This window comes from Homo sapiens, chromosome 14 (genome assembly GCF_000001405.40).
Source record: "Homo sapiens chromosome 14, GRCh38.p14 Primary Assembly".
Lineage (NCBI taxonomy): Eukaryota > Metazoa > Chordata > Mammalia > Primates > Hominidae > Homo > Homo sapiens.
In genome coordinates this window covers 97,458,116-97,474,281 of record NC_000014.9, presented here as the reverse complement: position 1 = coordinate 97,474,281, position 16,166 = coordinate 97,458,116, and the positions used below count along the sequence as shown (strand labels likewise).

The following is a 16,166-nucleotide window of genomic DNA, read 5'->3' as shown; positions in this document are numbered from 1 at the left end:
GGAACTTAAGTTCTGGTTCTGATTATCAAAACCTATTTTTTAACATAAAATATCCTCTGGAGATGAATGAAAAAAAATAGAACTATACTTACTGTGTCATCTAAAAGTCCTGAAATGTTCATTTCAAGTGAATTTCTAATAGAGGTTTTTAAGAGTCCTGGTGCATTCTCATAATTAAAGACTTCAAGTTTTTAATTCCTTCTCTCCACTTTGAATTTCCCCTGGAGCCTTTGTCATGTTCTATGTTGTGAGGAAAAGTAATCAAATTAACATAAGGGGCTTTATTGGAAGTCAGTTTCTCTCTCTCTCTGTCTCTCTCTCTGTCTCTCTCTCTGTCTCTCTCTCACTCTGTCTTTCCGTGTGTTTCTCTCATCTCTATCTCTGTCCCTATCTCTGTCTTTTCCCAATGACACTTCACAGACCCTCCTCCTGACTCTTCCCCACACTGCTTCATTTTCCAACTTCTACCTGCAGAAATGTACCGGCTTCCTTTGCATCCTTGTCAACATTTAGGTTGACAAAAATGGCTTCCATTCCATATGGTCCCCACTTTTATTGCCTCTAATGCCTGACTAGGTACAACTCTGTGACTTATTCAAACTCTCCAAAAAGAGAGTCTGATGGGCCACCACCTTGCCGATGCATTAGGTACTTTCTAGTCAAGTTCTCACCACTTTCTTAAGCTGTGGCCAGGATGGGGGGAAAGGAGAAAAATTGTGTGGCTTGCTCCCTACACATGAGGAAACAACAAGTGGAGCAATGCCCTGAGAAGGGCACAGGAGCACAATAGGTCAACCAATCAACCAACCAACCAAAATGTCTAGACTTGAGTTAAAGGGGCAGTTTACAGGAGTGATCTATGACAAAGATACTGCCAGGGTGTCTACAAGATCAAAACTATTCTCATAGAAGTAGTGAGACATTGCTTGCCTCTTTTCATTCAATTGGCATTAGTGTCCATGGTGCAAAAGGTAAACTGACAAACCCGCTTATTTTTTAGGCTGGGAATCAGTCCACATTTTATTTTATACTACACTCATATAAGTTCCTGCATTTCCAAGGTAACCAGGTCACATTCAGGTTAGCACTGCTGGTAACAAAATCGTACAATTACCCTGGCTTTAAAAACAACATGGGGGGCCGGATGTAGTGGCTCACACCTGTAACCTCTGCACTTTGGGAGCCCGAGGCAGACAGATCATGAGGTCAGGAGATCAAGACCATCCTGGCCAACATGGTGAAACCCTGTCTCTACTAAAAATGCAAAAAATTAGCCAGGCATGGTGGCACACACCTGTAGTCCCAACTACTCAGGAGGCTGAGGCAGGAGAATAACTTGAACCTGGGAGGCAGAGGCTGCAGTAAGCCAAGATCGTGCCACTGCACTCTAGCCTGGGCGACAGCGCAAGACTCTGTCTCAAAAAAAAAACAAGATAGAGGGATGCACGTTAATACCTCTTTCCCTTTGATACTGCAGAAGACAATACATCACAAAATAAAATCTCTACAATCACACGCCTTTTACAATCTAGTGTGAAGGCATATTATTTGTGCTAAAATTAGACCATATGGAACATGAGAATAAAAAGAGTTTGAAAGCTCTCTAAAATTTCTCCCAATGCCATCTTTTTAGCAGGAACCAAGGCCGTGGCACAGACTCTTCTAGTAATCCCTGCATTACTAACTGCCACACACCTAAATTTAAAAAACCAAGGCCAGTTTCACTTAACAATGCTCTTGATGAAGCAGTAAAAATTAATTTTATGATATCTAGACCCTTATGGGTACTTCTTTTTGGTATTCTGTGTTACAAAATGGGAAGTACACATAGCACACTTCTCTTGCACCCCAAAGTATGATGGAGTTGTGAGGAAAACACGTGTATGCTTGCTTGCTTGCTTGCTTGCTTGCTTGCTTGCTTGCTTGCTTGCTTGAGTTGCAAGCTGAACTAGCCACAGTTTTCACACAACATTTTTACATAAATGAACAACAGACAGAAAAATAATGGCTATTTGAACTAGAGTGTTTAGCAGACATTTTCTCAAAAATGAGTAAAATGAGCCTGTCATTTCAAAGGAAGCAACTGACAATATCAGAATTCAAATTAAAACATTTGAATTTGCGAAAATGTCTGTCTACCACCGTGAGCTGACGGAGACCCAATACTTAGAAACATTTTCTGCTGAGATTGCTGGTAATCACTAATGTGGATTTTAAAATGTTTTATAGTTGCATGTATCAACATTTGGAAGATTTGCACAACTCAGTGAACCAATATTTTCCAAAAGACCAATGTATGACGTTACAGAATCGCACGAGTCTGCCATCAATTTCATTGAAGCTCAATATAGATAATAGATTTTAATACAAAAGTATGAAAAACTCACTGGCATTATTACAGATTTTACATTACAACTAACCCTTAAGAAACTACTATTTGCCAAATATTGGTGTACTGTCAAAGAAAATTATCCAAAATTATCTGAAAAGACTATTAAGTGACTTTTGACTTTTCCAACTATACATATGTGAGAGGCCAGGTCTTCTTTATACCTTTCAACCAAAATAACATTGCAATAGATTGAAGAATGTACCAATTCTGCAATTTACTTGTTTGCTCAATATTGTTTGATCTATTCACTGCAGAACATGTGGCTCTAGTTTATACGTTTTTCACTGTGCTATAATATTCTATTGTAACTGCCATATCAGCGTGTATTTTTCCATCCTGAGAATGAACATTTAGGTTGTTTCCAATTTTTTTGTTTACTGTAATGAACAATGCTGCTGTGAACATTCTTTTTATCTGTCTTATTAGGTACACTTTTTCCTTGGTTTTATTCCTAGAAGTAGAATTGCTGATTTATGGGAGGAAGAGATCTTTTAATTCTGCTAACACAAGTAACATCTTTTATTGAGTTTCAGAGCTTGGCATATATTAATTTATGTAATTCTTAGAACAACACAGTGAGGCTTACCTTTTAGCCTTTAAAATGAGAATATTTAATGAGGATGCGCTATGGAGAAAGCTCAAATTCAGCTTGAAGAAGAAATTCCAAGGTGAAAGGGACCTCACTCCTGACTTCTTACTCAGTTATGAGGCTGCTTATTCAATATCTCCACTGGGATGCCTAATGCAACTGAGCACCTGGCTTACTCCATACCAAATGGCCCAGCTCAGCCTTCCCCCTCCTTAATGATGGCATCTCCATGCTTTTAGCAGTTCCACAGATAATCTAAGAGCACTGCCTCCACCTGGCCCAAGATGCCACCATCCCTTACCTGAGTCATCACAATGACCTCCACACTGGCTTCCTATTTCAGTCCATGAACCCTGGAATCACTTTTCAAAGAGAAATCAAGTGTGCCACTCCTGCTGTGAACCTGGCAATGAAGTTCTGAAGGAACTAGAAAAGCACCATTGGAACATCACATTAATAAATGCTGCGGGCCAGGTCCGTGGATGAATGCTAAAGTTAATGAGCAAAGCTTTAATGAGAAATAGGATATTTTCATCATGTCAAAGTTTCTCCTCCCAAATTTTCTAATTAGTATGGTGGTTTTAACATATGACTACAGATTTCTTGAAACGCTTCCTTTCTTGAATGTGGGCTGGATTTAGCAACTTAATGCCAATGGATAGAGTATGGAAAACTAAAAATAGTAACTTTACAGTGGAGAAACTTGGCCAACACCACCTTAACCAAGTAACCAAGATTACATCACCAGTGAGGAGTCATGTGGCTCCCAGGTACCCCCTGACATAGTGGAAGACAAGATCACATCACCTCTGTGGGATTCTTCCTCAAAATCCATACCCTCAGAGTATCCATGAGAAAACATCAGCCAAACTCAAACTGGGGCACATTCTACACAATACTTGGGTGCTTTTCAAAAGTTTCAAGGTCAAGAAAAGTCCAAGAAAGAATCACAGATTAGAGGACACTGAGGAGACACTGAACAGCAAATCTGGATCCTGAAACAGGAAAAAAAAAAAAGATCATTAATGGAAAACTGGGAAAATCCAAATAAAGCACGCAGTTTAGTGAGTAGTATCGTACACAAGTTGATTTCTTAGTTTTGATCAATGGAGCATGGCTATGAGAAACGTGAACAGCAGAGAAAGCTGAGTGAAGAGTACAGGGAACACCTGTATGCTCTTTGCAACTCTTCTTTAAACCTAAACATTATTTCAGGTAGCAGGTTTAAAAGAAACACACACACACACACACACACACACAGAGAGTAATGGCTTCCCATTTTATTCAGAGGAAAAGTCAAGGAGCTTATCCTCAGGGGGTCCATGCGACCTGCCCTTCCTGCTCCAGCCCTGGCCTCAGCGCACCCTGCCTTCCATAGCTGCCTCAACTTTCCTCCCACTGACCACTTCACTGTTCCGAAACCTTCTCTTGCACTCGCATTTTGTTCTGCCTCGGATGCTCTCCCTCTGGAATCTCTGTGGCCAACAACCTCACTTTTTTCAAGTCTTTGCTGAAATGTACCCACCTCAATGAAGCCTCACCTGATCATTCCATTTAGATTACAACTGCCTTCTCCGCAACCACTCCTGACCCTCCTTACGCTCCTCTTTCTCTGTTTTTCATACCACGCATCCCCTTCTAATACCCCTGATTCTGTTCCCCATTTATTATGGCTTTTGTTTATTATACGTCTTCAGCTCTATGAACGTGATCTTGCCGTGGTTCACTCTTGCAGCTGCGGTGCCTAGAACATGGGGCTCAGCCCACTGTTGAGTGAATAAGCTTGCCTGTGTCAACCCTAGCACTTAACTTGACTTATTAATCATCAACGTACCTGCACCTAGGAGCTCACCAAGTGGTGGAGGGAATAAAGACCTATTTATCTTGCAGAGGAGACATGGGCAAAAGATCCCAAATAGTCCTCCAGATCTGGGGCTAAAAGGTGAGTAGAAGCCACTTTTCATCAGCACAAGAATAGCAATGGCTTTCCTTCCTCCACAGAATGTCTTAGTGTGCCTGGAAAGACAGGTGAAAAAGTAAGCCTGCATTTTAGGCAATCTTTAAGCCAAGTTAAAAGTTATGAAAGATTTGGGTAAGCTCCTTTCTAAGCACCTTCAAAATTCCCAGAGGGCTTTTCTTATGCGGTAGGTATTATAATGAAAAAAGACCCAGACATGACAAGAGACACATGAGTAAAGATAGCTATTAAAGCAAGAATGATTGATTTCATAACATTCCAAGGTAGCACTCTTTAACTGCAGATACAGCCACCCCTCAATGTTGGCCTCCCTAATTTGCATAGGTAATTGACAGCTTGTTAACAGCTCATTAAGAACACTGAAAACCATGAGACAACTACAATCGTGTGCATAAATGGGGATAGAATCTGTGACTTGCAGGATATTGAGAACTCAATCAGATCTCAGATTACAGGTCAGAAAACTAGTGAAAAAACAGGGACATCGACCAACTTTTTTTTTACAACTTTATTTAACAGTCCTGTGGTCCATCATTTCATAAACACAAACCTGGGCCATGATGATTTTCAGAATTCAGTGCTAACGGATGCGACGATATAACTTCCAGTTTAATATATAATAAATGCTTACCAGCTGATCATTCTCACTTTCTAAAAACACCCATTAAACTGCTTATGCAGTTTTAAAATTTGTTCTTAAAATTCACCTTTTTCATAAACACAAGTCATTTAGGCATCACAATCTAATATTCTGCAAGTGAGAAAAATGTAAAGTGTAATTTGATTTTAGACTATAAAAAGGAGATAAGTTTCCTGATTTGCACACAGTTACTATCCGTAAATTTAGAGGCTGCATTTTTTTAAAAGAACATTTGAATATAAATAGTGCAAATAATTGTTACATCAGCAAATCTCTTCTGAGCAGAGATGCCGGTGCAGAAACCTTCGTCTGCAAACTGTCTGTGCTGGATAGAATAAGGAGTTTAAAGACTGCAGCCGCAGTGGAGAGCAGGGAGCTCAGTGCCCTGCCCCAATGTCACCTGTGACCGATGCTGATTCTTACGTTTTCTCTAGCTGCCTGTAGATAGCAGGTATGGACTGAGGGTCCAGGGAATGCTATCCCAGGCTCTGGATTCTGAAACCACCCTCCGGTTGCAGGACAGCCTAGTCTGCCATGCTTCCCAGTTCTGACCGACTTAGTCACACCCACTCTACACAGCTCCTTCTCCCCACATAGGTACCAACAACTGAAGAGGACTGATATGGTTGGCTCTTTGTCCTCACTCAAATCTCATGTTCAATTGTAATTCCCAGTATTAGAGGAAAGGCCTGGTGGGAGGTGATTGAATCATGGAGGCAAACTTTCCCCTTGCTGTTCTCCTGAAAGAGTTCTCATGAGATCTGGTTGTTTTAAAGTGTATAGCACCTCCTGCTTTGGTCTCTGTCTCTCTCTCTTGCTGGCTATGTGAAGACATGCTTACTTCTTTTTTGTCTTCTGCTATGATTGTTAAGTTTCCTGAGGACTCCCCAGCTATGCCTCCTGTACAGCCTGTGGAACCGTGAGTCAAGTAAACCTCTTTTCTTCATAAATTATCCAGCCTCAGATAGTTCTTTATAGCAGTGCAAGAACCGACTAATATGAGGACTCTCTGACCTCATTTGTTTTCCCACCCTCTGTTCTTTCTGCATGGCTAGTTCCACATCATCCAATCAGGTCCATCTTAAGGGACTCTGCCAAAACAGTGGAGCCAAGTGGGGAGAAAAGAGCACGGAATCAAGATTTAGGAGATCCAGGAGTGCCATCCAGAGCTCCGGCTTCACCATCCCTGGAAAAGTAGTTCATCCTGACTTAAACATTTAACTGCGAGGTCTCAATTTCATCACCTACAAAATAAGAGTGATGCTACTTAGAGATAGGAGTGTGGGATATGATGAGGTTTCTCTTCAAATAACCCGATCAATCTTTCATTCTTTAATTCATAGTACCCCCTCCTTTTTTCCCTTTTTTCTCCTTTTGTTCTTTTTTGCCTTTGTTAGCTGCCCAGGCATGCCACAGAACCAGGCGTTATCAGTACCAGCTCACATTCCTTTCCTTATCTGGAAAGAGGACTAACTTTCTAGCTCATTACACACACGGCTTCCCCTTTCCTCTCCACTTTCTTTTACTTGCCCATCTTATCTAAAAAAAAAAAAAAAAAAAAAAAAAAAATCAAATGTTTAGCCAACCAGGATTAGTTTAGATTGTACAACATGACCCAAGCCAATGGGAAAAGGATACAGGGGCAGGACTGGTGTCAAGAATAAAAGCACTCGTGCCCCTTTGTTCAGGTGTGCTCTCATGGTGACTGGCCAAGGGGGCACCCTTCTGTGCAGAAGTAAAATTGCTTTGCTAAGAATCCTTTGTTCGAGTGTTTAACTTCCTTAGGATTTTGAGCATTATTCCTAACAGGAGTAAAACTATGTACAGTTAACTCTTGAACAACGTGGGGATTAGGGGTACTGACCCTCTCTATAGCTGAAAATCCATGTGTAATTATGACTGCTCAAAAACTTTACTAAAAACCCCCTATTGACCAGAAGCCTTACTGATAGCATAAATAATTGATTAACACATATTTTGTATGTTACATATATTATATACTGCATTCTTACAATAAAATAAACTAGAGAAAAGAAAATCAGAAGAAAGAGAAAATATGCTTACTATTTATTAACTGGGAGTGGAGCATCATAAAGGTCTTCATCCTCATCGTCTTGAGAATGAAGATACATGTTGAGTAGATGAGGAGGTGGAAGAAAAGAAGGGGCTGGTCTTGCTCTCTCAGGGCTGGCAGAGGTAGAAGAAAGCCCATATATAAGTGAACCCTCAAAGTTCAAACTCATGTTGTTCAAGGGTCAACTGTACTTAGAAATCTGGGCAGTGTTGGTTAATTGAGATAAAGCCATGGTACAGGATAGAATCATGAAAAGATTGAGAAAGATAATTAATTCCAATCACAAAGGTCTTGGTAGTAAGACCATACCAAAGATGTCAATCAACTGAAGCCAAGTGGCCACTTTGACCCAAGGAAATCCAATCCAGAGGCTGAACAGAGACATATATTGTGGCCTAACAAGAACAGATGAACTGGACAAGACACAGTCTTCATCTCTGGAGTCTAAACTGGAAAAAGATGATGGTGATGGTGACAGCTGAAGCTGAAAGTCCATGGTGTAGTGAGACCTTTGAGGCTGTCCACCGAAGGCCTTCTGCAAACAGAAGCTATGAGGAAGCAGAAACCATGACTGAGTGAAAGACATGGAGGGAGAAGAAGACACAGAGTGGAGGGAGGAGATGAGAAGGCACAGAACAGTGAGTGGAACAGATGGAACCATCAACAGAGGGGCCACTCCCTCCACCAGAAGTTCTGCTTTGCATCTTTAGTCCAGGAGTTGGCGAATTTCTTCCACCAAGGGCCAGAGAGTAAACACTTTAGGCTATGCAGCCTTATGGTCTCTGTTGCAAGTACTCACTTCTGCTACTGTAAAGCACTAAAGCAGCCATAGACAATGAACGCTTCTGAAACTAATGAGCACGCATCTAAAAACTGGAAGATGCCACAAAAATACAATTCATTTTGTCTCAGAAAACTGGAATATGAGGCTTCCAGGGCTGTTTTCTAACACAGTGGCAATGACCAAGGGTTGGAGCGGGCCTGATCATGTACCTGCTCACCAACATTGCCCACCCAGCTCACATGGGCAGCTGAGTTTGGGAACTTGCAAGCATCAGGTACTGTAACCACCACTTTAGAACCATTACCTCTAATCCTTCACCAACTTATAAAGTTAGTGTCAGCATGACTATTTCACGTAAGAGGAAACTGAGGCTATGGAGTTAAGGTGACATTTCCAAGATCACACTGTTGATAAGTTGCTGAACAAAGGTAAAACTGCTGGAAACAAAAGTAATTTTTTAGAAGGTTCTGGGAGAATTGTTCTCTTCCCTCCTCTTTCCAGTCCTCTTCCTTCTGATCTGGACTCCAATGTCTCTCTTTTTGCCGAATCTCTTTAATTTCTTCAGGAAATAACTCCCAATGTGAAAGAAGAATACACATTGCCTTTTCTCTCTCTCTCTCTAAATGTAATTTTCTTGTCTTAGACGCAACAAATTCCTTTAAGAGTGGAGATAGTGCCGTAGGTTTCCTTTATTCCCCCAGACAGCTTATCATAGCCAGAGCAAATAATAGATCCTAAATAGAATCAATCATGGTGGTGGTGTGGGGAGGGGGTTTTTTAGCTTTAGCATCTGACTTGAACTTATTACTAATAAGATACAATTAGATCCCGGGAACTAACTCCTCAAGCAAGAGATCTGAGATGAGAACCAACAGGAGAACCTAGGAAAACAGATTCACGCTATAGCCAAAGGACCCACACAAAAATCCATGCAATCTCTGCATAGTGGGAAGGATGGAGGAGTTGGAAGACTTGAGTTCAATGCCCAGATCTGCTGGAACACACTCCTGCTACTTGCAGTGTGGACGGAGTCCCAGCAGCCCGAGAAACACCCAGGAACTGGTTAGAATTGATCATTCTGGGCCCCACCCTAGAAGAACAGAATGAGAATTCTTAGAGGTAGGCCCAGGAATTGGTATTTAATGATCAATTGGGGTGATTCTTAAACACATTGAAGTTTGAAAATCACCGACTGCATGTTGCTATCTCTGGGGGAGCTTTGAACAGCAGTATTGCATGGGTTGGTGTTGCCAGATTTAGCAAATAAAAATATAGGTTGACCCAGTTACATTTGATTTTCAGATAAACAACAAATAATCTTTTACTGTAAGTATGACCCACATTCTGTATTACTCCGTATTTTTTATTGCATCCCAAGCCCTTTTCTACCCTCAGGGATTCTCATTTCATTGGTCTGAGTGAGGCCTGGGCTTTGGGATGTTGAAAGTTGGTGTGCAGCCAACATTGAGAATGGTGACCTGAGACAAGCCCCCACCCTGCCCCATTCCCTCCTGAAGGCTTCCCTGCCTCACTGTTTCACCTAGATTCTAGCTCTGGGGTTGGGGAATGGGGTGGCAGTGGAGGAAGTCAATTTTCCTAGGGTGCAGCAGGTTGTGGATATTGAAAATAGGCTGGAACCATCAAATAGGAAATCCACTATGAAGATATGTCATGATTTCCTTTATTCCACAGCTGAGTACAAATTGCCACTATTTTCTTCAGGAGAGGCAACAAAACCCTATCACCCAAATACCTAAGAAATCAAAGGTTCTCAATAGCAAGTTACATGGGCCCTTGGGTGGGAGGTGGGGAGTGTTTGGAGGAAGGACGTGGACAATCACACATAACACTGTGATTTGAAATTTACTTGAGCACTTAGGCTAATGAATCAAGTGAACTTAATCACCCCAGAAATCCAGACTCTCTTGATATGTTCTCCATCTCTTGGAGGCTGAGACTCTTATTCCCAATATCTCAGGCTTCTAGAGGAAAGTGGAGCAAGGCATGGGTGGGAGAAGCTCAGTAAACAAAAGGGCATTTCCCCCATGGCAGAATCAGCTGCTTTACACAAGGTCTAGTCTCATGGTTTCTCCAACGGCCAGGACTTGTTGCAAGCTGAAGGTTCTCCTCCCTGGGACAGGAACTTGGCCAAACATGTTGCTCCATTCAGCGATATGAAAGAAGTCATTCTCTCTTTGGGGAGAAAATTTTCTCCATTTACCCAATGATCTGTACCTTACAGGACTGTAGAATAAAATTCCAGCCTGGAGCAATCACAAGATTTCAATCATTGTATTCAGAAGTACTAATGGTATGCAGGGACTTTTTAATACAGGGATCTATTTTTTACCTTGGATCAACCTGAAAATTCATCTTCTACTTTTTAATTCTTTTTGTCCTATTTTTTCTAACCCTTCTGCTTAAATCCTTCTACATATATAAATATACTTATGTTGCCGTCCCTTTCAAAGTATTCTATTAGTTCTATTTCTTGAGATGCCCATTCTTCAGCTTGCTGTGTCTAACTCCCTATTCAGTATCTTCTTTCCTAGTGCAATTTCATGATTTTCTATTGAGTTTGTCTTCCAAAGAGCTTTGGTTTAGTTTTGCTCTGTCTTTAAACCTATCAGAATTCCATGTGGCCCAAGTTTGTGAATGTGTTACTAAAAATAAAATTTTGCATTTCTTTCTGCAGGGACGCTAGACCTGTGTCTAGTGTTTTTGACTTCAATTCTTACATCACAAGGGCAATGTAAACTTGGACCCTCCCTGCGTGCATTGTATGAGCTTGTAACTGATTTCTCATGAGAGGCATTTTTTTCCTACCCAGAAACCAAGCCACAAGAAAGCTTTCTCGCTGCTTCTCTTAGTCTATCAGGTCTTTTAAATGTGCATGTCTCATGCTGGGGATTCAGTTCTGGTTCCCACCATATACAGATTCAAAGCCGCATCTCCTGTCTTTCTGTAGGCAAGAAATTTCAGACCCAAAGGCCTATAATCAATAGCTCTGAAGGACAGTATGGTATCAGCAAACTGAACTTTCATTTCGAGTACCTAAGCATTCCCTTTCTTTGAGTTTATGTGTTCATTTTAAAATTTATACTTCTCCAGTATTTTTGTGTATTTGTATGAAGAAGGTGATGCTTATTGGTTCAGTCTGCCATGTTGTTAAAACCAGAAGCCTGAAAGTTACTCTTGCAACCAAAGAGCCAGAGACAGTGAATTCTTTCCAGTCCACTCAAGAATTGTTGGCAGCAAAACAAAGGATATGGATAAAGAGTCTAGGTATAGATCAATACAATGTAAAGAGCTGTGGTTGTGATTTTGCAGAGATGTTCAAAAGCTACTCAGACAAAGTAAAGCATGAAGCAGACAATTCCAACAGGGTCCTGGCATTTTGTAATTATAATCAATTATACATGATAATTGATCAATAGCTATTTCTGCTTAACAAACTATCTCAAAACTTTTGGCTTAAAACAGCAATCATACCTTATGATTTTGTGGTCAGGAATTTGGATAAGGCTCAGCTGGGTGGTTCTTCTGTCCCACATGATGCCGACAAGGGTTGCTGAATGGTGTTCTGCTGGTGAAGGGCTGGACTGAAGAATCTAAGAATGCTTTACTCATATGCCTGATACACTATCTGGTTGGGTCAGCTGGGATTGTTGACCAGAGCAATAACATGTGGCTTCTCTTGCATGGTGTGAAGATTCACACTTCATACGTGGCTCAGGCCTTTAACAGAAAGTTTCAAAAGACAGGAAATGGACACTGCCAGATGTTAAGTTCTCATCATCTCTTCTGCCCTATTCTTTTCATTGAAGTAGTCACAGAACCCATAGGAGGGGTCTTTTGGCAGGAGATGTACCTAAGAATTTGGGGCCATCTTTCACCTGCCGTGGTAAGGCAGAGTGCATGGGCTCTGAAGCCAGGCAGAAGCATGGAAAATGTTAAGCCTTTCTAAGCTCCTTCTTACTTGCTGACTCCAAGATAGTTTCTGAGCTTTTGTTTTCCTCATCTGAAAAAGGGAAATATTAATATGGAATCAGATTGAAATGTTTCAGCTACATTAAATAAAATAATGGTAACCTAAAAGTGAACGTCATGAATTTGAACAGAGAGAATTGGAAGAAGACAATCTTTTTTACAGATATTTGAAGAGGAAAGTGCTTAAATTCTGACTTAAAGATTGAGGACATTTTGCTCTTAGGAATAAGGAACTTGCTGCAAGAAAAAAATGCTTATCCAGTGATAGACTAATGTACAGTATATTAAAAATAAAACAAAAGTGCTACTGTGAAGAGAACCAGCAGATCATGGATGAAAAAGGAAGAAACATCTGGAACATCTGGGTTGAACCACCACAGGGATGATCCCCTTAAATGGTAACTTTTAGTGAAATGGTATTAAAAGTGAATGTCAGTCTCCCATTGCATTTTATTTAGACTTTGAAATATATCGGCCGGGCACAGTGGCTCGTGCCTATAATCCCAGCACTTTGAAAGGCCAAAGTGGGTGGATCACCTGAGGTCAGGAGTTCAATACTAGCCTGGCCAACATGGTGAAACCCCATCGCTACTAAAAATACAAAAATTAGCTGAGCATGGTGGCAGGTCCCTATAATCCCAGCTACTCGGGAGGCTGAGGCAGGAGAATTGCTTGAACCCGTGAGGCAGAGGTTACAGTGAGGAGAAATCATGCCACTGAATTCCAGCCTGTGTGACAAGAGCAAAACTTTGTAAAAAAACCAAACAAACAAACAAACAAAAAACCATATATATATATATATATATATATATATATATATATATAATTACACTTAAACTAAGTGTACAATAAATTATAAATAGAGCCCATCCCAGGATTTCAGTTACCAGCGCCTGATTGCTTTATGATGCTCAGTACAGCACATATTGATGAAGCCCTTCCGACATCACCTGCTGCAATGTGAGCTTTCTGTACATTTTAACACTGGCCATGCTGCTGTAGGGAGGGTTATCATTCAGCCTCGGAGATGCTAAGGGTCACACATCCAACTGTGTAGGCTTTATTTGGACCCAGGACAGATTCTCACCCATGGGCATCCTGTTCACACTTCACCAGGCTGGGCTAATTCTACCCATCTTCTCTCTGCCCTGAAGGACTTATCACATAGTTACACCTATGAGAATTTTCAGCAATCTCAGAATTACTTCCTCTGGAAGTATTTGCAAAAATGGGATAATGGTAGAGGCACTAAAACTGTTCCTACACTATAAAGCCAGCAACTCTCCTGCTTATAAAATGCAGCTGGGGTAGGAATGGTAAGAATAAGATAAAGTGTAAGGTCTTTCACCTCCAAGGCACTTGGACATTATATCTTTAGACTCTTTGTTATATTGACTGCATTACTCCCAAATGCTTTTTAGAGGAGGGGGGACATTTAGAAAAGTGAATTTCTTATGATCAAATCAATATGTTGTGGTTTATGACAATTTTATACATTTATGGCTAAGAACCTATCTGCAATCACTTCCTAGACAAAAGTTAATCATCTTAGAATTTAAAAAAACATAGTTTATTTTTTACACAATTTCTGGGATTGGATTTCCCAACATGCAGCCCAAACACCTGCTCAGAGCACAGGTAAAACAGAAGTCTCACCTCAAAGTCAGCAATTTTTAGAAAAACTTGACATACAAAAAACACATAAGAGCTGTTATGTTGGACATTCTTGCTGTAATGGCTATATATATATATGTAATTATTATTATACACATACACACTCACGTTTTTCTTTTGAGTCAGGGTCTCGCCCTGTCATTCAGGCTAGAGTGCAGTGGTGCCATCACTGCTCACTGCAGCCTCAACCTCCTAGGTTCGAGTGATCTTCCCCACCTCAACCTCCAAAGTAGCTGGGGCCACAGGCACATGCCAACATGCCTAGCTAATTTTTTTTATTTCTTATTTTTGTAAAGATGGGGTCTTGTCACGTTGCTCATGTGGGTCTCAGACTCCTGGGCTCAAGCGATCCTCCTGTCTCAGCCTCCCAAAGTGCTGAAAACTACAGGCGTGAACCACTAAACCTGGCCTGTTATATATTAATTTTAATTTAAAATACCCATGAAAAGGGGAGTAGGTTATTTTCAGTACTTAAGGTCCGAATATCGTGGGCTGCTGGGCTGGGGCTCACGACCCATCCGCAAATAACACAGAGGCAGACACAGAGAAAATCAGACATTGAGGCTTTCCTCACCTGCCTCTGTCTCCCTCCATCTCTGCAACTCTGCAATGCCCCAAGCAGGAGTCTGCTTTTTTGTATAATGGGCAACCCAATCTTGGCAGGAAACCAAAAGTCAATTTCCAGGAAAGGCAGAAAAGAGGGCTATAAAAACTAGAGGACCTCTGTGGCCTTGTGGTCACCTCTCCTCTCTTGCAAAGACACAGCTGTCACCAGAACCCCACGTCTCCACCAGCACAATGCCTCTCAAGATGCTGTAAGCGCCTAGGGAAAGCCAGCCTGCTAAAGGACGCACATGTGCGCACACACACAAACTTCAGGATGGCCATCAATTCAGTTCCTCCTTTACCAAACACTGTGACATGCCTTTCCCCTCTTCTCTCTCTCTCTCTAACCAGCCTTTCTCCCCCACCTCTCCCCCTTCACAACGCCCAGTTTTATTAGTATTATTATTCTCTTAAGTGGCACATGTAGTACCACTTCCTGCTCCATGAGGCCCCGCCGAAAGCGACGGAAGCGCGCCCTCCTCGCCGTGACATCTGTCTTGGCGGCAGCCTCCTCAGGCGGTTCTCTTGGCAGCCTCCACGCTGCCACCAGGCCTGTCGGGTGGCTGTACGGCTGACGGGCTGTCACCGCCGCCTCCTCTTGCGGGCTGCCATTTTCTTTTGATTTACCTTTGATTCGGAGGCATTTGCATGCTTTCATCACTTGGTGGACAAAGTCCTCGGCAAGTCTCCCATGGCTGCTTTCTGTGTAGGCAGCCAGGAAAGGGGCGGATCCCTCTGTGACTTTGCTTTGAGGTGTAAATGGAGGCCCGGCTGGCCTATGTCACGGGGAGCCCGGAAGCGGGTGTAGACTGTCACTTCCCAGCTCCCCGGGAGACGCTATGTAGTTGCTCCTCGCTTTGGCTAGGGAGCTGCTTCGCCAGTGACAAGTGTCCCCCGTGTCAATTAGTTTATTAATCACCCAGCTAGACAACTTGGTAATGTGGTAATTTCAGGGTTAGGCTGCACCGAGTTCTTCCTTTTCTGGCTGGGCATAAGAGCTCGTTAAAGGACTTCCCCTGCTCTCCAGAAAACTCTTTCTCTGCCTTTGTGCATATCCCAGTGAAGCCATTCAAAACTGCAACTCCTCTTCCCCGGCGTGCGGACAGGAGGGAGGACAGGGTTAAATTGCTAATCGAGGTTTCGTGAGGTCTGCCAGAGCCGAGTCTCCAACACTTACATCTGTTCAACAATTATTACAGCATTTTTGTCATAAAAAATTCAACACCCTGAGTGTCGTGCTAGCAAAACCTGAAAATTTATGCAGTGAATAGAATAGCTAATTTCTCTGAGGAAATGCAGGAGGAAAATTACAGATTTTACTTAAATTCCAAACACCAGAGTGCACACATCTGACGCCCTCTTTGGATTTTTTGTCAACCACCGGACCGAAGACGCCTTCCCGTCCACCAGGAAGCGGGGAAGACCCTGGACACATGCTC

At 41.9% G+C, this 16,166-nt stretch overlaps 1 long non-coding RNA gene across 2 annotated transcripts in view; it reads right to left on the bottom strand.

Annotated features, from left to right (window-relative positions):
* Window positions 1-15,466, bottom strand: part of LINC02325 (long intergenic non-protein coding RNA 2325) — a 122,568-nt gene extending 107,102 nt beyond the window's left edge. The window contains exons 1-3 of one of the 2 annotated variants that reach the window (NR_110165.1): window positions 15,355-15,466; window positions 11,950-12,478; window positions 10,123-10,650 (exon numbers count right to left, since the gene is read on the bottom strand). This is a non-coding gene — a long non-coding RNA (long intergenic non-protein coding RNA 2325). Of the gene's footprint in view, window positions 1-10,122; window positions 10,651-11,949; window positions 12,479-15,354 lie in introns of those variants that run through there. The other variant, NR_110166.1, reaches the window with a different exon arrangement.
* Window positions 15,467-16,166: the final 700 nt, after the last annotated feature.